This window comes from Homo sapiens, chromosome 12 (assembly GCF_000001405.40).
Source record: "Homo sapiens chromosome 12, GRCh38.p14 Primary Assembly".
NCBI classification, from domain to species: domain Eukaryota; kingdom Metazoa; phylum Chordata; class Mammalia; order Primates; family Hominidae; genus Homo; species Homo sapiens.
The window spans coordinates 51,981,916-52,004,798 of NC_000012.12; the positions used below are offsets into that span (position 1 = coordinate 51,981,916).

Consider the following 22,883-nt stretch of genomic DNA (forward strand, 5'->3'; position numbering starts at 1 on the left):
TAACGACAGAAAAGCCTGTAGTCCACGAAGTGTCGCCTTCGGACTCTGCTCTTGGTCAGTCCTGTCCCTGAGGATTCTTTCCTTCTTCCTCTCCCTTTTATTGCTTTAGTTTTTGAATCTCTTATGTGCCAGGCACCTCCCTATGTTTGAGGACCTCATTGACTAGCAAAGGATGACGAGTAAGGGTGATTAGAGGAGGTAAACACGAGTTGTTCTGTTGAGCACAAATTGGGGCTGACTCGCACCTGAGCCCAGTTGAGACAAAGGTGGCAAGAACTGGTCAGGAAGAAAAATCTTCCTTGCAGGGAAGAGCACTGCAGACATGTGCAAAGGTGAGGTTTGGGGCCCAGCAAGTAACTTGGATGGCTGTGGGTGGAGAGGGAGGCAGAGGCCAGATTATGAGGGGCCTTTTTGAGAGGATTGTATTCCATTCTGAAGATAGTGGGTAGTAATTAAAATTTCATTCATTAATTCTATAACATTTATTGACTGCTGTGGGCCAGACCTCTGCTGGCTGCTTGGACCATCACACATAAGAGCAAGACACAGTCCCTCCCCTCACAGAGCTCCCAGGAAGAAGGGGACAGACACGTGGACAGGTAGTGGCACCCGGAGCACAGAGAGGATGCTGTGAGTGGCTGGTTCACATTGTGGAAGGGTCTCTCTAGCAGTTGTGACATGACTTGCTCCTGTGGCATGGTGCAATTTAGAAGTTAGTGTCTACAAAGCCTACAGAAGATGCTATTTGTTTTTCATTCCTGAAACAACAGCAGACTGCTCATTCCTCACATTGCCATGGGAAGTTGTAATGGTCTCTGCTGCCCCCAAGCTGAGGAGCCTTAGACTCCAATACAAGGGAGGAAGGGGAAGAGCAAGATTTTTATTCCCACTGAGTAAGCTATTCCTTTTTAAAACTATCACCTTTTGATAAAATTTAAATCTTATATGTTTTAAAAGGATCAAATCATGTCTTCTCTTTGAACTTGTTAGCAGGGTCCTCAGGACTTTGGGGCTGGTTAGAGTGCGAGAAGCAGTGTGTTGGGTGGGCCCCTTGTTTGTGATAAGAGAAGCCAAGATGTGTGTGTTTCCAGGATCCATCCCTTTATTGATTCTGGCAGCTTGTGTGAGTAGGGATCTGGCTTTCAAAACCCACCTTAAGGCCAGGGAAGGGAAACAATCAGACTCCCTCGTTCTTGCCTTTTTAACATGGGGTATATATAGTATGGTGCCCTGGAATCAGCGCCAGCCTGGAATTTTGGAGATTTCAACTCAATTTCCAGTCTTCCAATTGACAACGGCATGGCTTAATTCGATTCCTGGCTTTGGTGTTTCTTTTTCTCCCTCCTCCTGCTCTCCTCCTTCCTGCTGTCCCTAGTGTAAAAGAGAAAATAAAGTGTATGCACTCTACCTTCCATTGCTCCTCTGAAGGATGAGATGCCTTTCTGGGAATACTTGGAAGTGGTCTATTCATGCACTGAAAAGCATTTTTTGGCCTGGAATCCAATAATCCATAAAGGAGATCTTTCCTACTCACAGAGATATCATAGCCTGGTAAGAACAACAGACTGAAAAGAAACATTACAGATGAGACAGGTGCTGTGTTTGGGCTGTGTTCAGAGGGTCGCTGGGACACAGGAGGCCCTCCAAGGCTTTCCTGTTTGGTGGTGGTAGATCCAGCTCATTGTGGTTCTCCCGTGCAGATGAGCAAGTCTTGGTCAGGATCAAAGCAGTGCTGCACACAAAGCTGGTGATAGCTGTTACCTTCCCCAGGCATATGCCTCCTCTTTCCTGAGTACCTCACATTTCAAATTTGACATAATGTTCAGAATCCTACAGTTCACCTAAAGGAAATCAGGAGCAGTCCTAAGAAAGAAATGGTGTTCCCCTGTCCTTACTGAGGTCCCAAACTGGTAGACCACTATAAATGAAAGGATGCTAGATGGGGCTTCAGGGGGCATGGAGGTGGGAAATGTGAATTCAGGAGTCTAACCTGATTTTGTGTTGTATACACTCATCCTTACCAACCTTCACTGTTTTGCTGATAGTTACACTTTTTCTGGGACTCATCTGTGGTTCTCTGCAGATAATGGCACCTGGACACAGCTGTGGCTTGTTTCTGACTATCATGAGCACGGGTCCCTGTTTGATTATCTGAACCGGTACACAGTGACAATTGAGGGGATGATTAAGCTGGCCTTGTCTGCTGCTAGTGGGCTGGCACACCTGCACATGGAGATCGTGGGCACCCAAGGTGAGTGGACTAGCGCAGGAGCGGCGAAGTGGTGTAGGCATGAAAGGTCCGCAGTGTCCTGATTTAGTTCCTAGAATTCCTTTTTACTGAGGAAGTTGGGGCTGGACCTCAGGAACTCTAGTTTAATTTAAAGGAAAGGAGGTTTGAGCTTCACTTAAGTGAGGTATCTACAGGGTGTTCCCTTCACCTCTGTCTTGATAGAACTCCCTCAGGAACCCTATAATATCAATATTCAGCTACTTGTCAATCAGTGGCTTGACATAGTCATTTGTTACGAAGGAGTAATCATCTTAGAATCCCACAATAGACATGAGAAAAAATGGAACTAAAAAGATAAACCAGTGTACTGGGAACATCAGTTTAGTGATTTCCATGTTCATTGATGGGGACAGCTGGCTTAAAGGCCACTTGGTGGATTAGATTCTGGGCCTTACTAATCTGGGAAGGTTTTCCTGGAGGAAGAAGACCTGAAGCTCTGCTACTTGTTGATTATCATGTCGGCTCTTTGGGAGATCCTGGATCTTGTCACAATGGCAGGTGTGATCCCTGATGCCTGGTTGACCAGGGCCACAATGGAAAATCACCCGTGAAAGTTGGATCCTATTCCTATAGCCTGTGCGGTGCCAGTTCTCATCATCGGGCCTGTTTCCTTCTGAGAACTAGGCATTGCAGCAACTTCCCTTCAGTCCCTCAGCACTTCTGTACCTGAGCATATTTGCTCAGGGAAGGCGAGTAGTAGTAGTAAATATTAATACAAATATTAGCTAAATACACATGTCCTTCTATGGTCGTAACTTAGCTACATGAATGCATTTAATCCTCACAACAGTCCCATGAAATAAGTAGTCATTCTGATTTTATGGATGAGAAGACTGAGGTACAGAGGGCTAAAGTCACTTTTCCAGGGTCACTGGATTAGCAGGAGGCAAAGCCAGGACTCAAACCTATACAGTCTGGCTGCATAGTCTATGCTTTTAACATTTATATCATCTCTTTGTAAAGATCCCTGTTTTTTTCTCTGCCAGGGAAGCCTGGAATTGCTCATCGAGACTTAAAGTCAAAGAACATTCTGGTGAAGAAAAATGGCATGTGTGCCATAGCAGACCTGGGCCTGGCTGTCCGTCATGATGCAGTCACTGACACCATTGACATTGCCCCGAATCAGAGGGTGGGGACCAAACGGTAGGAGGGCCTGGGACTCTGCCCTTGCTAAGCAGCTTCTACTGAGTATCCCATCTGTGCCGTTTCCCATATGCGCAGGAGAAGGAGGTGTTGAAAAAGGAGGCGAGGACCTTGCTCTCAGCCCACTGAAAGTTGAATTGAACATGCACTCCCCACAATGGAAAGTTGCATCACTGCATCTAACAGATACAAGTGCTGAGAGCACAGCTCCATAAACTGTATGCACATTGGTGTTGGTGGTATTAAGGTCGGAGGGTAGAGAAGGACAATCTAGAGCAGGATTTAGAAGGATAGCAGGCAACAGGTGTGGCTCGGGAAAGAGGGAAAACACTGTCATCTCCTGTGCAGAGAGCTGTGAAGGAGGCAGGGAGCATGTGCTTAGGGACTGGAGACCAGATTTGCCAAACTATAGCAAAGGTAACCCAGGATAGAGATTTGGGGCACCCTTCAAGATTATGGGCCTGCTTCCCACTTCATGCAGAAGTGAGGTAAGAAGTAAGGAGCTGTGATTGCAAATTGACTTCATGAGTTGGAAATGGGACTGCCTTTTAATAGAGTGGAAGAGGTGGAAATCTGCTGAATCTAAATGAATTTAATTAAGATTATCCCCTGATTTATTGTGGGGGCTGGGGTGGCTGGAATCATAGTAATTACTCATAATTACTACTCAGAGTCATTAAGGGTGCCGCTGACCACCTCTAGAATTAATTTTGACATATCTATAGTCAGGTAAGATAACAAAAGCAGTTCGGAATGAAACTTAAGCTCAACCCATCACTGTGACTACATTCAATAAAGTGAAGGACCCTGGTGTCAACCAAATATTAGGTACTGTTACTGCCCCTGTGACCCACATTACAAGTACTTCTGCCAAGAAGTCAAAACATGCTTCAAATAAACAAATCTTTACTCTCTCTTTGTTTTTTTGATATGGAGTTTCGCTCTTGTTGCCCAAGCTGGAGTGCAATGGCACAGTCATGGCTCACTGCAGCCTCCGCCTCCCGGGTTCAAGTGATTCTCCTGCCTCAGCCTCCCGAGTAGCTGGGATTACAGGCGCCTGCCACCATGCCTGGCTAATTTTTTGTATTTGTAATAGAGATGGGGTTTCGCGATGTTGGCCAGGCTGGTCTCCAACTCCTGCCCTCAGGTGATCCGCCCACCTTGGCCTCCCAAAGTGCTGGGATTACAGGCGTGAGCCACCGCACCTGGCCAAATAAACAAATCTTGATGGTTAAAAATAGAGATACACATCAGAGTAGCCTGGTATTGCCAAATCTGTGCTGAAGTATTTAGAATCAAATTTAAAACATGGGAGTTTGCAATGAAGAGATGTGTACACTTCTTCTGCCCCAAGGGACTTTATCAGGGTGATACTCTTCCACATTCAGAGGGCTCCTGAATCAATACTTTGATTTAAAGAGAGCAGTCATCATTTTCTGTGCGTGACCATGTTTGTTTTGCTATTGCAGATACATGGCCCCTGAAGTACTTGATGAAACCATTAATATGAAACACTTTGACTCCTTTAAATGTGCTGATATTTATGCCCTCGGGCTTGTATATTGGGAGATTGCTCGAAGATGCAATTCTGGAGGTACCTTTCTTTTTTGCCTTTGCTCCTACCTCCCATTCCAGGATGCTGGATCACCCAAAGCTGTTTTACTGCCCCCTTTCTTTTTACAACCTGTTGGATGCCTGTTGCCAGAGCCTGAATCATCGTTTAAGGTTGCCATCAAAGGTGTGGAGGTAGCTGTGCTTAGGGTGCGTTTATTCTTCAGGGATCAGTTTGTTGAATAGCGTTGTGTGTTATGGTAACCATTCTGAAGGCTCGTTTGGCTTTATAAACAAACAAACATTGTTTTATTAGTCCGTGGCGGGGAGTGCCCCGGTGCGCATAGCACGGGATTCATGCAGTGGTCTCCTTCACATCAGAAGCAGTATATTCTAACGCGGTGGCTCCCAAGCCACATTCATGGGAAACCCTGCTGTTTCATTGTTAAAATAATAGTGCTAATTTCTAAATTTATAAAAGTGCATAGATTTTTCTTAAAAGTGAGTTTTTTCTCCCATAGTTAAAAATCGTTGGCATTTGCAGCTGCTTATTCATGACAGAATCCAGTAAGAAATAGTATCAGATTTAGCAGAAACACTTTTTATTGTCAACTTAGTATATCAGTATTTTATGATAATTTCCATATATTCTGCCACATGATCAAGTTCCAGGACCTCTAGAGCCCTACTCTCAGCCATTTATCTGTGATATAAGAGATTCCAGGGCAGTGAAAGTGATTGAAAAAAAGAACTGGTGGTGCTCACTTCGCCAGCACATATACTAAAATTGGAACAATACAGAGAAGGTTAGCATGGCCCCTGCACAAGGATGACATGCAAATTCCTGAAGCGTTCCATATTTTTTAAAGACCTAGTATTTGATAGCACCACAGGGTGACTATAGTCAATAATATAATTGTACATTTTAAAATAACTGAAAGAATATAATTAGATTGTTTGTAACACAGTGTAAATGCTTGAAGGGATGGATATCCCATTTTCCCTGATGTGATTATTATGCATTGCATGCCTGTATCAAAACATCTCATGTACCCCATAAGTATATACATCTACTGTGTTCCCACAAAAATTAAAAATTAAAAAAATCTAATCTACAAAAAATATGACAAGTCTTCCAGCAGAACTGTTTTGTATATTAATACCCTTTTCCAGCTTCCATTTATGACATGTTTGGTAAAATCCAAATTATGGAAATAGTGCCCAGGTAGTATTCATGGAATTGTACCTCTTAAATTTTGATCAGTATATGCAGTAAAACAGACTAAGAGGCCAGGCGCAGTGGCTCACGCTTGTAATCCCCAGCACTTTGGGAGGCCAAGGCAGGCGGATCACGAGGTCAAGAGATCGAGACCATCCTGGCCAACATGGTGAAACCCTGTCTCTACTAAAAATACAAAAATTAGCAGGGCATGGTGGTGCACGCCTGTAGTCCCAGCTACTTGGGAGGCTGAGGCAGGAGAACGCTTGAACCCTGGAGGCGGAGTTTGCAGTGAGCCAAGATCGAGCCACTGCATTGCAGCCTTGCGACAGAGCGAGACTCCATCTCAAAGAAAAAACAAACAAACTAAGAAAAATCTGGTCACACAGGTCTTAAACTGTGAATAAGTTTATTTCTTCTTATGACATCCAGAAATTGAGGCTAAATATATAATAATGCTAACATTTATTCACCACTTGCTATGTATAAGCTCATTTAATCTTTACTACTACAAGTAAATAATAAGTAGGTGCTATTATCATCGCCATTTTACAAATGAAGAAAATGAGTCACAGAGAAGTTAGGAAATTTGTCTAAGGTCACATAACTATTTTAGTAAACAAGGGTTCAGACTCGGACAGGCTGAGGCCAGGGCTTAAGCCTGTAACTACCCCTTAGATAATTACCAAGTCCAATTCTCTATTTAAAAATATTTCCCAGGCTGGGCACTGTGTCACACCTGTAATCCCAGCACTTTGAGAGGCCAGGGTGGGCTGATTACCTGAGGCCAGGAGTTTGAGACCAGCTTGGGCTACATGGTGAAACTCTATCTTTACAAAAATAAAAAAATTAGCCAGACATAAAGGCCAGGCATGGTGGCTCACGCCTGTAATCCCAGCACTTTGGGAGGCCAAGGTGGGCGGATCACCTGGGAGTTCGAGACCAGCCTGGCCAATGTGAAGCCCTATCTCTATTAAAAATACAAAAATTAGCCGGGTGTAGTGGCGGGCGCCTGTAATCTCAGCTACTCAGGAGGTTGAGGTAGGAGAGACTCCATCTCTACTTAAAAGAAAAAAAATTGTCTCATTAGCTCAAGACAGCAGGGTTTTTTTGTTTTGTTTTGTTTTTCTTTTTCTGGAAAAGGGCTTGAGAAAAATTAATTGGCTTTTTATTTTTATTTTTTTGAGAGAGGGTTTCTCTTTGTCACCCAGGCTGTATTGCCATGGCACAATCTTAGCTCACTGCAACCTCCGCCTCCTGGGTTCAAGCCAGTCTCCTGCCTCAGCCTCCCGAGTAGCTGGGATTACAGGTGCCCACCACCACTGCGGGCTGATTTTTCTGTTTTTAGTAGTGATGGGGCTTCATTGTGTTGGCCAGGCTGGTCTCGAACTCCTGACCTCAGGTGGTCCACCTGCCTTAGCCTCCCAAAGTGCTAGGATTATAAGCGTGAGCCACTGTGCCTGGCCTAAATTGGCTTTTTAAAACTATCTTTTTATTATGGAAAATCTTTCTAAGTTTGTAGTTCTTAAAGATGAGGACTTAAAAAAATGCAGTGCTATTACCACACTTTAAAAAATGAACATTAGGCCGGGCGCGGTGGCTCATGCCTGTAATCTCAGCACTTTTGGAGGCCGAGGTGGGCTGATCACAAGGTCAGGAGTTTGCAACCAGTCTGGCCAACATAGTGAAACCCCGTCTGTACTAAAAATACAAAAAAATTGCCAGGTATGGTAGCGTACGCCTGTAGTCCCAGCTACTTGGGAGGCTGAGGAAGGAGAATCACGTGAACCAAGGAAGTGGAAGTTGCAGCAAGCCGAGATCGTGCCACTGCACTCCAGCCTGGGCAACAGTGGAGACTCCGTCTCAAAAAAGGAAAAAAAAATGAACATTAGGGGTCAGGTGCGGTGGCTCGCACCTGTAATCCCAGCACTTTGGGAGGCTGAGGCGGGCAGATCACCCGAGGTCAGGAGTTCAAGACCAGCTTGGCCAACATGGTGAAACCCCGAATCTACTAAAAATACAAAAATTAGCCGGGCATGGTGGCAGGCACCTGTAATCCCAGCTACTCGGAGGCTGAGGCAGAAGAATCGCTTGTACCCGGCAGGTGGAAGTTGCATTAAGCTGAGATTGCGCCATTGCACTCCAGCCTGGGTGGCAAGAGTGAAACTCACACACACACACACAAATTTAGTGCTTTTTTTTTTTTTTTTTTTTTTGAGACAGAGTCTCACTGTCACCCAGGCTGGAGTGCAGTGGCGTGATCACAGCTCACTGTAGCCTCCACCTCTCCAGGCTCAGGGGAACCTTTCACTCCAGCCTCCTGAGTAGCTTGGGACTACAGGTGCACCACCATGCCCTACTAATTTTTGTATTTTTTGTGGAGACAAGGGTTTTGCCATGTTGCCCAGGCTGGTCTTGAACTCCTGTGTTCAAGCAATCCTTCCACCTCGGCCTCCCAAAGTGCTAGAATTAGAGGTGTGAGCCATTGTGCCTGGCAAACATTAATGTCACTTAACATCTAGTCAGTGTTGAGATTTCCCCAGTCTCCTAAATTTTTAAAGCAGTTTGTTCAAATCGGGGTTCCAATAAGTTTTATCCCCTGCAGTTGATGAATACACCTCCTACATTTCTTGTCTACATGTTCCCCCTCATTTTTTCTTCCCACTCTGTTTTTTCGGAGAATCCAGGTCATTTGTCCTGTAGAATTTCCCAGGCTAGATTTTGCAGATTGCTTAGGTAGAGTTCACATATTCTACTCTTCCTGGTATTTCCTATGAATTGGTAGTTAGATCTGGCAGCTAGAATCATTTCTGGGGGTTCGGGGACACGTATCCTTCACAGGGGTTCCTCTGTCCTTCTGTGACAAGTTGCGTAGCATTGGTTCTCTATTTTTGTGTCGTTAACGTGCCGTGGTGATATTGTCCAAAACTAAGCGAATGATTACTTCCCCTACATATGTATTTGGTTCCCATGATATATAGTTGGAATAGGAGAGGCAGAAAAAATACTTGATTCTTTCCACTTATTTACCATTTTTCAAAATAATGAGGTGGTTCTGTAGCCTCCCACAGAGGTAGGTGACTGAAATTTCCTTTTTTAGACTTTAAAAATATTTGTTTCCATTGAAGTTATTTGTCTTATTGTTACTTAAAAGTTCCCATCTTTGCTCAGTTGGGAGCTTATCAAGTTGGTGCCTTTTGATGTGACCCCCAGTAGTCTTTGATAGATTCCTTGCTTTGGCTATGAAAAAAAATGTTCCTGGCTACTCTTTTGTATTTCTTTTTGTTTAGTTGTTTTGTTTGAGACAGAGTCTTGCACTCTTGTCCAGGCTGGAGTGCAGTGGCATGATCTCTGCTCACTGCAACCTCTGCCTCCAGGGTTCAAGCTATTCTCCTGCCTCAGCCTCCCTAGTAGCTGGGACTACAGGTGTTTGCCACCATGCCTGGTTAATTTTTGTATTTTTAGTAGAGATGGGGTTTTACCGTGTTGGCGGGGCTGGTTTCAAACTACTGATCTCAGGTGATCCGCTTGCCTTGGCCTCCCAAAGTGCTGGGATTACAGGCATGAGCCACCATGCCCGGCCCCTTTTGTGTATTTCTTGTTCCATACTTAGAATTAACTAACTTTCTAAGGAACCTTAGGGGGTAGTGGTATTTACAGAGCACAGTGTAGGTTTTGTCACCGGCTTCTGAGTAATCTTTTCCTGCTGTTGATAACTCAGGTAGATACTTTCTTTTCTCCCAGGAGTCCATGAAGAATATCAGCTGCCATATTACGACTTAGTGCCCTCTGACCCTTCCATTGAGGAAATGCGAAAGGTTGTATGTGATCAGAAGCTGCGTCCCAACATCCCCAACTGGTGGCAGAGTTATGAGGTAAGAAGCTGGCCTCCTGCGGCTTTCCCATCAGCCTGATTTCTCCACCTTAGAAAAGGGTTTCTTGACAATGGGGTCAGGCCCCAGAGGAGCCCCCTGAGAGTGTCAGTTATTATTTACTATTACGTGCTATTTTACATATCCCAAGCCCTTTAGGGCTACAGTCTCTTGTCCTGGACCCTGTAGGGTGCCATTTGGAGTTCACAGCCTAGAAGAAGAAAAGGCTTTGGGCCTGGTGTGGTGGCATAGGCCTGTAATCGTAGCGCTTTGAGAGGCTGAGGCAGGAAGATAGCTTGAGCTCAGAAGTTCGAGACAAACCTGGGCAATGTGGGGAGACCCCATCTCTACAAGAAATAAAAAATTAGGCTTGGTGGCACACCACCTGTAGTCCCAGGTACTTGGGAGGCTGAGGTGGGAGGATTGCTTGAGCCTAGGAGGTCAAGGCTGCAGTGAGCCATGATTGGGCCACTGCGTTTCAGCCTGGGCAACAGAGCAAGACCCTGTCTCATAAAAGAAAAAGGACAAGGCTTTGTCTCCAAGACACAGATGAGGGAGGTGGTCAACAAGTGACAACTGAACCCAGAGCTGTTAGACACCAAACTAGGAAAGCAGCTCTGGAGCCCGAGCTGAGCTGAGCTCCATGGAAGAGTGAGGAGGAGGTGTCCATAAGAGAAGCCCTGAGACCAGACAGAGGAGGAGGACATGCCTGTGAGGAAAGTGGTCTTTCCAGAAACTCAGAAGGGAGGAGGTGATGTGTATGACAGGGCTGGGATTGGGATGGAGAATGTGAATTTGGGAGAGACGGCAGATGAAATCAGGGGTGTGGGGGAAACAACATTTGGTGGAAAGAGTTGACATGAGGACATGTTTGTGACATACGTACTAATAAACATGGAATTCTAGGGTCTTAAGAGTGTTCAGGGGAACAGGCTTCGCCTAGCTAAGTGCTCATGGGCCTCCTTTTCACTTGCGGTTCTGCATTTCCTTTTACTTATTTTTTTCCCAACTCTATCGAGGTGTGATTGACAAATGAAATTGTAACAAAGGTGTACAAAGTGCTGAATTGATACATGTATGTATTGTGACATGATTACCACACAAGTTAGTGAACACATCTGTCACCTCACCTTGTTGCTTGTGTGTGTAGTGAGAGCAGTTGAGACCTACTGTTAGCACATTTCAGGTGTACAGTATTGTTGACTCTAGTCACCTTGCCGTCCATTAGAGCCCCAGAACTTACCTAGTCAAGTAGAGAGGTTGGCTCTGCCTTTAACGAGTCTAACCACTAGAGGGCATTTCTGCATTTCAGAACAGAATTGCATATTAGCTGATGCTTTCGTGTTGCATCATAGAGCAGCACTTCTCACCGCACTCCTTGGAACCCTCAGGGCAGGGTTTGCTTCAGAGGGCAGGTGAGACCAAAAGAGCTGGCCGTTAGCTGCAGCGTTTGCCTTTCACTTGTGTAAGCTGTCCCTTAAAAAGGAAGAGCCGCCTGGCGCGGTGGCTCATGCCTGTAATCCCAGCACTTTGGGAGGCCGAGGTGGGCAGATCACAAGGTCGAGAGAGCGAGACCATCCTGGCCAACCAATATGGTAAAACCCCATCTCTACTAAAAATACAAAAATCAGCTGGGCGTAGTGGTGTGTGCCTGTAGTCCCAGCTACTGGGGAGGCTGAGACAGGAGAATCACTTGAACCCGGGAGGCGGAGGTTGCGGTGAGCCAAGATTGCGCCACTGCACTCCAGCCTGGGTGACAGAGTGAGACTCCTTCTAAAAAAAAAAAAAAAAAAAAAAAAAAAAAAAAAAAAAAAGGAAGAGCCAGGGAACAAAGGGAGCCTTGCAGAGCATTTCCCTAAGGTCGGCCGCCGGGTGGATGTGGATCTGCCAGACTGCACTGAGCGGGAGGTGGCAGGGAAATGAGTGAGAGCCTAGGGACCAGAAAGGCTTCTCCAGGGCATGACCGAGCTGATGGCTCCTGGGTCTCTGCACAGGCACTGCGGGTGATGGGGAAGATGATGCGAGAGTGTTGGTATGCCAACGGCGCAGCCCGCCTGACGGCCCTGCGCATCAAGAAGACCCTCTCCCAGCTCAGCGTGCAGGAAGACGTGAAGATCTAACTGCTCCCTCTCTCCACACGGAGCTCCTGGCAGCGAGAACTACGCACAGCTGCCGCGTTGAGCGTACGATGGAGGCCTACCTCTCGTTTCTGCCCAGCCCTCTGTGGCCAGGAGCCCTGGCCCGCAAGAGGGACAGAGCCCGGGAGAGACTCGCTCACTCCCATGTTGGGTTTGAGACAGACACCTTTTCTATTTACCTCCTAATGGCATGGAGACTCTGAGAGCGAATTGTGTGGAGAACTCAGTGCCACACCTCGAACTGGTTGTAGTGGGAAGTCCCGCGAAACCCGGTGCATCTGGCACGTGGCCAGGAGCCATGACAGGGGCGCTTGGGAGGGGCCGGAGGAACCGAGGTGTTGCCAGTGCTAAGCTGCCCTGAGGGTTTCCTTCGGGGACCAGCCCACAGCACACCAAGGTGGCCCGGAAGAACCAGAAGTGCAGCCCCTCTCACAGGCAGCTCTGAGCCGCGCTTTCCCCTCCTCCCTGGGATGGACGCTGCCGGGAGACTGCCAGTGGAGACGGAATCTGCCGCTTTGTCTGTCCAGCCGTGTGTGCATGTGCCGAGGTGCGTCCCCCGTTGTGCCTGGTTCGTGCCATGCCCTTACACGTGCGTGTGAGTGTGTGTGTGTGTCTGTAGGTGCGCACTTACCTGCTTGAGCTTTCTGTGCATGTGCAGGTCGGGGGTGTGGTCGTCATGCTGTCCGTGCTTGCTGGTGCCTCTTTTCAGTAGTGAGCAGCATCTAGTTTCCCTGGTGCCCTTCCCTGGAGGTCTCTCCCTCCCCCAGAGCCCCTCATGCCACAGTGGTACTCTGTGTCTGGCAGGCTACTCTGCCCACCCCAGCATCAGCACAGCTCTCCTCCTCCATCTCAGACTGTGGAACCAAAGCTGGCCCAGTTGTCCATGACAAAAGAGGCTTTTGGGCCAAAATGTGAGGGTGGTGGGTGGGATGGGCAGGGAAGGAATCCTGGTGGAAGTCTTGGGTGTTAGTGTCAGCCATGGGAAATGAGCCAGCCCAAGGGCATCATCCTCAGCAGCATCGAGGAAGGGCCGAGGAATGTGAAGCCAGATCTCGGGACTCAGATTGGAATGTTACATCTGTCTTTCATCTCCCAGATCCTGGAAACAGCAGTGTATATTTTTGGTGGTGGTGGGTTTGGGGTGGGGAAGGGAAGGGCGGGCAAGGAGTGGGGAGGGAGTCTGGGGTGGGAGGGAGGCATCTGCATGGGTCTTCTTTTACTGGACTGTCTGATCAGGGTGGAGGGAAGGTGAGAGGTTTGCATCCACTTCAGGAGCCCTACTGAAGGGAACAGCCTGAGCCGAACATGTTATTTAACCTGAGTATAGTATTTAACGAAGCCTAGAAGCACGGCTGTGGGTGGTGATTTGGTCAGCATATCTTAGGTATATAATAACTTTGAAGCCATAACTTTTAACTGGAGTGGTTTGATTTCTTTTTTTAATTTTATTGGGAGGGTTTGGATTTTAACTTTTTTTAATGTTGTTAAATATTAAGTTTTTGTAAAAGGAAAACCATCTCTGTGATTACCTCTCAATCTATTTGTTTTTAAAGAAATCCCTAAAAAAAAAAATTATCCAATTGAACGCACATAGCTCAATCACACTGGAAATGTTTGTCCTTGCACCTGAGCCTGTTCCCACTCAGCAGTGAGAGTTCCTCTTTGCCCTGAGGCTCAGTCTCTCTCGTATTTTGTCCCCACCCCCAATTCCTTGAGTGGTTTTTGCTCTAGGGCCCTTTCTTGCACTGTCCAGCTGGTTGTACCCTCTCCAGGCATTTATTCAACAAATGTGGGTGAAGTGCCTGCTGGGTGCCAGGTGCTGGGAATACATCTGTGGACAAGACATGCTTGGGTCCTACTCCTGGAGCACTGTAAAAAGAGCTGATTCAAGTAAGTAGATGCCTGTTTTGAGACCAGAAGGTTTCATAATTGGTTCTACGACCCTTTTGAGCCTAGAATTATTGTTCTTATATAAGATCACTGAAGAAAGAGGAACCCCCACAACCCCCTCCACAAAGAGACCAGGGGCGGGTGATGAGACCTGGGGTTTAGAACCCCAGGTGAGACCTCAAATCACTGCATTCATTCTGAGCCCCCTTCCTGTCCCCAGGGGAGGTGTATTGTGTATGTAGCCTTAGAGCATCTCTGCCTCCAACCCAGCAGTTCTCTGCCAAAGCTTGTGGAGGAGGGAGAGCCCTGTCCCTGCCCTCAGGCTCCCCAGTGCTCCTGGCCCTTCTATTTATTTGACTGATTATTGCTTCTTTCCTTGCATTAAAGGAGATCTTCCCCTAACCTTTGGGCCAATTTACTGGCCACTAATTTCGTTTAAATACCATTGTGTCATTGGGGGGACCGTCTTTACCCCTGCTGACCTCCCACCTATCCGCCCTGCAGCAGAACCTTGGCGGTTTATAGGTAATGATGGAACTTAGACTCCTCTTCCCAGAGTCACAAGTAGCCTCTGGGATCTGCCAACACACGTCCACTCCCAAGCCACTAGCCCACTCCCCAGTTGGCCCTTCTGCCCTTACCCCACACACAGTCCAACTCTTCCACCTCTGGGGAAGATGGAGCAGGTCTTTGGGAAGCTCCCACACCCACCTCTGCCACTCTTAACACTAAGTGAGAGTTGGGGAGAAACTGAAGCCGTGTTTTTGGCCCCCCGAGGCTAACCCTGATCCATAGTGCTACCTGCACCTCTGGATTCTGGATTCACAGACCAAGTCCAAGCCCGTTCTTACGTCGCCATAAAGGCCCCCGAACGGCATTCTCGGTACTTCTGTTTGTTTTTGTACATTTTATTAGAAAGGACTGTAAAATAGCCACTTAGACACTTTACCTCTTCAGTATGCAAATGTAAATAAATTGTAATATAGGAAATCTTTTGTTTTAATATAAGAATGAGCCTGTCCAATTTCTGCTGTACATTATTAAAAGTTTTATTCACAGAGCTGCTCTGGTGCCATCTGTCCCACATACGTAGTACGGCCACCCAGCTTTTGTCAGGGGAGTTGGGAATGGGGTGGATGTTCTAAGGTCAGGGTCTCGTGCTCACACCAGCTGTAGCAGACCCCAGCAAGAGGAATGCTGTTCCCAACATCCTGGGTCTTCCTGAGACTGTTGCTTTGTGTTCCTAGAGGGCGGGTCTGGCATGCAAGGGACAGAAGACACAAAGCATCCTTTTCTTGGGCTTTGTCTGAATTTGTCTTCTCACGTTTTTTCCTGTTTACAAAAGAGGGTCATGTTCCTAGTTAGTCACACTCTCTCATGTCTTAGAGGCATGAGCGCTCCTCCTAAGCTGAAGTGAAATTGTGAATTCTGGGATGCTTAGGTGACTTTGAGGAGGAAGTCTTCAGTGGTTACTCCTCTGGTATTCTCAGCGTGTGGTGGGTGTGAATGTCCTCCCTCTCTGGGCTGAGGGAATCTAAAATAACAAGTCCTAGAATCATAGTCTCCAGTTTAGATGAGACCCACAAGATCCCCTAGTTCACTGTCAGGCACTCGACTTCCCTGCGATGTCCCTGTCAGGTGCTTGTGTGGCCTCCTGCTAATGCTGGACCACAGCTCCATCTGTAGGCTCCGTGGCTCAGTGGAAAACCCTTCCTTCTGTAGAGCTGGGCAACTTCCATGAGACTTCCACAGGGTTTTCTAAGCAGTTATTCTGTCTTCCCTTATAAGATCCCTTAAAATATTTACAGGCAGCCGTCATGAATCTTCTGGCAAAGCTCCGAGTTTCTTCAGTTAATATTAGTGAATACTTATTGAAAACTCACTTCGTGCTAAGCAATGTGCCAAAATTTGCTTTACGTATATTAACTGTTTTAATCCTCAGAGCAACCATATGAGATGGGCATCATTATCTTCTCTTTATGGATTAGGAAACAGAGGATTGGAGAAGTCAAATAAGTTGCCCAAGATCACGTAGCTCACTGGTGGAAAAGACCTTGGGTCCGGGATGTTGACTGCAGAGCACAGCCCTTCCCCCACTGCACTATCCTGCTCTGGTTCCATGTTCCTCACCCAGGCTGGCCGCTCTCTTCTGAACCCAGCTAGAGTCTGGGGCCACAAAGGATGTGTACATAACGTTCCACCCAGGTATCAGCAGACATCACAGACTAGAACAAGAACCCCACAGACTGTGTGCTTGATGCCACAGATCACATCCCAGGACTGCATCTCATCTCTTGATTGAGTAAAATCCAGCTACCCTCTCCTGCTTGTATAAGGGAAGTTGGTGTTTTGAACTCAAGTACAGGACCTTATAGTTTTACTCTATTAAACTTCACTGTAGACCATGCCCACTGCGCCAGCCTGTCGCTACTTTTAAATCCTGATTATTACCCAGAGTTTTCCATTGTTCTGAGTTTCCCTGTCTGAGACTCTGCTGGGCTGAGAAAATGAAGTAACTTACTCCTAAAAGTTCGCTTTAAGTTTGGCATCTATCCCAATAATCTAATCAGCTGCTAATTAAATTGTCCTTGTGTCCTGGCCATAATTTTTTATTTTTTATTTTTTGTTTATTTATTTATTGAGACAGAGTCTCTGTTGCCCTGGCTGGAGTGCAGTGGCGCGATCTTGGCTCACTGCAACCTCCAGGGTTCAAGCGATTCTCCTGCCTCAGCCTCCCAAGTAGCCGAGATTACAGGCGCCCGCCACCACACCCAGCTAATTTTTGTATTTTTAGTAGAGACGGGGTTTCACCATGTTGGCCAGGCAGGTCTCGAACTCCTGACCTCAGGTGATCTGCCCACCTCGGCCTCCCAAAGTGTTGGGATTACAGGTGTGAGCCACTGCTCCCAGACTATTTATTATTTTAAATAGAGACAGGATCTCCCTTTGATGCCCAGGCTGGTTTTGAACTATTGGCTTCAGGGAATACCTCCTCCTCGGCCTCCCAAGGTGCTGGGGTTACAGTCATGAACCACTTCACCTGGCCCATAATTTTTAGATGGACAGAGATAGCAGAAGAAGCCCAAGTACTTTGCTAAAGTATCATTGTGGCTCTCTTTGATCTATCTACCTGTTCATTGGAAAGAAAGACAGAGTGGTTGGTAGTGAATCTCGGCCTGGTTCACATGAAGGCCCCTTACAGGCCATCCTGTGAATAGTCAGTCATCTTGCCAGGCATGGACCTAAAATTCACTAGGCTATGATTGCAGGCTCAACTCTACCATTTTGAAAATCAGAATGGCAACCATTCTAGTGCCTCTTCCTGTGCCTTTGAAGGTTGCCAACAATGTTTCATCTTAGTAAGGCCTCTGACACAGGAGGCTTGACTTCATTTGAATGTTGTATCGCTTGGGTTATTGTTTCACATAGCTTAAATTTCTGTCCCCCAGCCCATATGTCTTCTGACCTTTACAGGCCTTAGAACATGCTTGCTAAACACAACCAAACCAGAATGACGAGTGGTGGAGTTCAAGAGACTCAGGAACATAAGAGGAATGCACAGCACAGGTGAGGGAAGTAGGAGAAGCCCTGGGTCAGGCCAGGAACGGTGTTACTAGTCAGGGTTCTCCACAGAAACAGAATCGATAGGATGGATGGACAGACAGACTAGAAAGAGAGATGACTCATGGTTGTGTGGGCTGCAAGGCAGGGTAGCAGGCTCAGAGACCCAGGGAAGAATTGATGTCGCAGTCCTGGGGGCAGAATCCTTTCTCAGGACACCTCAGGCTTTTCTCTTAAGGCCTTCAATTGGTTGGATGAAATCCACCCACATTATGGAGGGGTAATATGCTTTACTCAAAGTCTACTGATTTAAATGTTAACCACGTCTAAAATACCTTCACAGCAACATCTGGAATAGCATATGACGAAACAACTGGACAACTATGGCCTGAAAGTTATTGGGGATTCCTTGGTCAGAGGATGGGGTTTAAGGAATATGGAAGATATCCCTGGGTCCTTCTGAGAATTCTCCTTGGAAGCCAAAATGGGGGGTTAATGGGGGTTTAGGGCAGTTTAAGGAACAATTGGATAGCCTGGGCTCTTTAAATAAGTATTTTTCGAGCAACCTTAATGAATGGAGTGGTAGGTAGAATAGAAAGCTATGGCGAAATCCCATCTCTACTAAAAATACAAAAATTAGGTGTGGTGGCGCACACCTGTAATCCCAGTTACTCAGGAGGCTGAGGCATGAGAATCACTTGAACCCGGGAGGTAGAGGTTGCAGGTTGCAGGTTGCAGTGAGCCAAGATTTCATCACTGCACTCCAGCCTGGGCAACACAGGAAGAATCTGTCTTAAAAAAAAAAGAAAAAGAAAAGAAAGCTAAACAATCCATGGTCCCTGCCCTTCAAGGAGTTTATAATCTAGACAGATAGGATTTGTACAGGCAACAATAGGGCAGATTTGGGCAAATCCCATTACAGAGCAGTATGCAAAGTACCATGGGACCACAGATGAGGTGTCCGGGGAAGAAGTGACATATCCCTGCCCTACAGCGGCTCCCTACCTGGTGGAATGGGTGAGTAAAAAGATAGGATGGAAGGAGATCAGTACTCCCATAGGGATAGAATACTGTGGGAACATAAGAGAGACAGGAGGTTGGGGGCAAGAGAGGGACATCAATTTCGGCCTGCTGACTGAGGAGAGGAGGGGGTTTTAGTCAAAAAGAATTGCCATTCAAGAACCACAGATATTCAGTATGGCGGGGGTGTGATGAGGGAGCCTGCTAGAGCTGTTCCCGTGCTGAGTTCTGAAAGGTCAGGAATTCATCCTGGGGCCAGAAATGGCCAATAGGTAACACCGGTGCCATCACTTACCCTGTGACAGCTACCTCAGACTGTACTAATCTATCAGTAATTTGTCCTCTTGAGTTGGTCTCCACATTTTTCTCAACAGCGTGCTTACTGTCCTGTAAGTTAAAACACATTTGTCATTGTGGATGTAGGGAATAGGCCGTTGGAGGGTGTCTTGGTCTGCTCTGGCTGCTGCTGCTAAGTACCTTAGATTGATGGCTGGACACGGTGGCTCATGCCTGTAATCCCAGCACTTTGGGAGGCCGAGGTGGGCGGATCACTTGAGGTCAGGAGTTTGAGACTAGTCTGGCCAACATGGCGAAACCCCATTGCTGCTAAAAGTACAAAAATTAGCCAGGCATGGTGGTGCACACCTGTAATCCCAGTTACTCAGGAGGCTGAGGCAGGAGAATTGCTTGAACCCAGGAGGTGGAGGTTGCAGTGAGCCAAGATCATGCCAGTGCACTCCAGCCTGGGTGACAGAGTGAGACACAATCTCAAAAAAAAAAAAAAAAAAAAAAAAAAAAGTTAAAAAGTTCCTTGGATTGGGTGATATGGATTGAGTAATTTATAAACAATATAAATGTAATGCTCACAGTTCTCGAGGCTGGGAAGTCCCAGATCGAGGGATCAACAGGTTCAGTGTCTGGTGAGGGCCTGTTCTCCTAGATGGCGCTTTCTGTGTCTTCACATGGTGCAAGGGGGAAACAGGCTCCCTCAAGCCTCTTTTATAAGGGCATTAATTCCATCCATGAGGGCAGAGCCCTCGTGACCTAATCACTCCCTAAAGATCCCATGTCTCAATACTATCACATTGGGTATTAGGTTCCAACATAGGAATTTTGGAGGGACACCATCATTCAGACCATGGTAGAGCGTTTTAAGCAAGGGAGTGATGTGATCCTGCTTGTGTTTTGGGAAAATCACAGTGCTGACTTTAGAAAGGAATTGTACTGGTGGCAGAGTAAGAAAAGCTGGGAAGGGGCGGGGCGCGGTGGCTCATGCCTGTAATCCCAGCACTTTGGGAGGCCGAGACGGGTGGATCACGAGGTCAGGAGATCGAGACCATCCTGGCTAACACAGTGAAACCTCACCTCTACTAAAAATACAAAAAATTTTGCCAGACGTGATGGCACACGCCTATAATCCCAGCTACTTGGGAGGCTGAGGCAGGAGAATCGCTTGAACCTGGGAGGCGGAGCTTGCAGTGAACCAAGATCACGCCACTGCACTCCAGCCTGGGCGACAGAGTGAGACTCCGTCTCAAAAAAAAAAAAAAAAAAAAAAGAAAGACATGCTGGGAAGGGCCGGGTGTGGTGGCTCATGCCTATAATCCCAGCACTGTCAGAGGCAGAGGCGGGCGGATCACCCAAGGTCAAGAGTTCGAGACCAGCCTGACCAACATGGTGAACCCTCGTCTCAACTAAAAATACAAAATTAGCCGGGCGTGGTGGCACGTGCCTGTAATCCTGGCTACGTGGGAGGCCGAGGCAGGAGAATCGCTTGAACCCAGGAGGCGGAGGTTGCAGTGAGCCAAGATTGCGCCATTACACTCCAGCCTGGGCAACAAGAGCGAAACTCCGTCTCAAAAAAAAAAAAAAAAAGGGAAGAAGCTGGGAAGAACAGCAGGAGAAACAGTGGGTAGAATACTCAGGTTTGGGGCATAATCAGATGTGAATGGTGAGGGAAAGAGGAAAGCTGACTTCAGTTTGGAGTAAAAGAGAGAATCTTAGCCTGGCAGTTCCGCATATGTGTTTGGGGGTTAGGGGGTTGGTGCACGACACTGTCCCCTAGGAGGGAACCAGGGATGAAAGAGCAAGTGTGTTTGCCAAGCGGAAAGAGATGTGGGCAGTCTAGGGCCCTAAGAACTGCCATTTTCTCTCTTCACTATATGCACCTGTTCTGAAATGAGGCCGGGTAAGATAACACATACCCTGTGTCTTAGGAGTTGTGTGCAGATGCTGTAGGAAACCTGGAGACTTAACCTTCCTTTCTTCTGCCACTCTAACCCGTTCATGCCAGAGATGCCCTGCCATTTTCATCCAAGAGGCCAGATGGTCCCTGGCCTTTGAACAGGACTAGACCCAGAGACCACCAACATTCAATGCAAATAAACTGCAACATCTACCTTGATCCTACTCCAAGACCCCCTGGGATCAGATCTTTGGACTGTGCCAGATCAACCATACTGCTAGATTCTCTCTCTAGGTCCCCGAACATGCACAGACACTGTCCCATGGAAATGGTCGCGCAGTAGGAGCCACGAAGAAAAACAGCCACTCCCCGCCCAGTCAGCTGCCCACCAGCTGTCCACCGCCCACAAGAGGTGATGTCATGCAACTGGGGGCCCAGCCCCTCATTCCTGACAGACCAGAGAGCCAGGGCCCCAGGCCCTCTTCCCCCCCACCTCCCCAGCTTAGGAGCAGTGACAGTACCCAGTGAGGAACTCCCAGTAAACTATTCATCTCTGCCAGTTCCGGGCCCCACTGATGGACAAGGCCCATGTTAGAGCTCTGAGACTTAGGTCAGACTCCAGAGGGGCCAGCACTAGCCCCTAGTGCTCTGACTTCATCATGGTACCCTAGAGCTTAAGCTGCTCAGTGGAAGACTCAGCTCTCCCAATTTCCTCCATGGGGGGCTGCTGACTGTTACATAGCCAGGCGAGGGGTTGCCCTGAAGAGAAGGGGTGTTACCTAGGCCTTGTCCTTTAGCTGGGCCCCCACTGTCTAATCCCCCACCCCAGGCCAGCCACGAGTGTCAGGAGCCAGGGCAGGCAGAGCAGAGGGAGGGAAACCTGAGAGCTCATTCTGAGAGAGGCTGGCTTGGGAAGAAGGTACAGATTGAGTACAGATGTCTGAGGAGCCAGAGCGGTGGAGGTTTTGTGGGGAGGCTTCCTGGAGGGAGGAGGAGGGGGACGTATCCTGGTATGAAGCTGCAGGTGGTGTGCAGAATGCTTCCCCCACCGCCCAAGCTTTAAAGGGCTGCAGAGGATAGGATGAGAACAGATGCTAGCCAAGAGACTCAAGCTTAGGAGAAAGCTGTGGAGAGTTGAAGGCAAAGCTTTAGAGGCCTCATATATACTGCCTGGCATGCGAAGGTTAGTGCACCAACAAAGCCCGCCAGCTGCCTGCCTTCTCCCTGCTGAATTTCACCTGCAGCAGAAGCAGCTTTGATGCAAAAAACTTCCTAACTGACAGCTGTGAGATTCCAGAATTCAGTGACCAAAGTGGAGCTTGGCATCCCAGTTGTGCCCTCTTGGGAGGAAGAGGAGCCGTGGGGGATCCTGAAACAGGGCTGGGATTCCAGGTGGAGTCTTCCAGCCTTTCCGCCTGGCTTGAAGATTTTCCCCCGAGACTCATGGCCACCAGAGGGCATAACCACTCCACAGTATGGCATCCTGGGCTCCAGGGGCCCCTCCTTGGAGAAACTGGGGAAATTGGGAGGAGGAAGCAGGCAGGGATCTCTGAGCTCTCAGGGAGCTACCAGCAGCTGAATTAAACAGTCTCTGGAGTCAAGAGACTTGGGTTCTAGTGGGTTCTAGTCCCTGTTATGATTCTGTCTTTCTCTCTCTGGCTTCAGTTGCTTCTGTTAAATGAGGGCTTGGACCATACGGTATCCTTTCCAGACCATAAGGCCATTTCTGGCTCTGAAATCCCAGGATTTAAGGAATCACACAAAGAACTTGATAAAAATTGCATTTCCTGGGCCCACCCTTACTCTGGGGTTCTCTAGGGCTTTCTGCCTAGCAAGAGGAGGAAACAAGGTGCGAATTTCAGTCCTCTGGTGGTGTTCACTCACTTGGAGGCCTGGAGGTGGACTGCCCTACATAAACTGGGGAAGTCTGCCTCCACGTCAGCTGAAGGATGACTGGCTCCACAGGCTGTTAGACACAGGGGCTGTGCCACACCTGTGGCATCCACTTCTCCAG

At 47.6% G+C, this 22,883-nt stretch overlaps 1 protein-coding gene and 1 pseudogene across 23 annotated transcripts in view, besides 1 other annotated feature; both read left to right on the forward strand.

Moving 5' to 3' along the window:
- ACVR1B (activin A receptor type 1B) overlaps positions 1 to 15,163 on the forward strand; it is a 45,380-nt gene extending 30,217 nt beyond the window's left edge. For 8 of the 23 annotated variants that reach the window (NM_001412778.1, NM_001412779.1, NM_001412781.1 and 5 more), the window contains 5 exons: positions 2,084 to 2,251; positions 3,277 to 3,433; positions 4,903 to 5,027; positions 9,948 to 10,078; positions 12,070 to 15,163. In NM_001412778.1, coding sequence (NP_001399707.1) covers positions 2,084 to 2,251; positions 3,277 to 3,433; positions 4,903 to 5,027; positions 9,948 to 10,078; positions 12,070 to 12,195 — 707 coding nt within the window. In that variant the 3' untranslated portion in view covers positions 12,196 to 15,163. The other 15 variants (XM_047429858.1, NM_020328.4, XM_047429856.1 and 12 more) reach the window with 10 other exon arrangements.
- On the forward strand, positions 5,742 to 5,848 carry RNU6-574P (RNA, U6 small nuclear 574, pseudogene; annotated as a pseudogene).
- Positions 11,281 to 11,390: a silencer, noted in NCBI's record as "silent region_4477". NCBI's record gives its function as "represses an Ori minimal core promoter by ATAC-STARR-seq in GM12878 lymphoblastoid cells {active_cell/tissue: GM12878}" and the evidence as "EXISTENCE:reporter gene assay evidence [ECO:0000049][PMID:35858748]".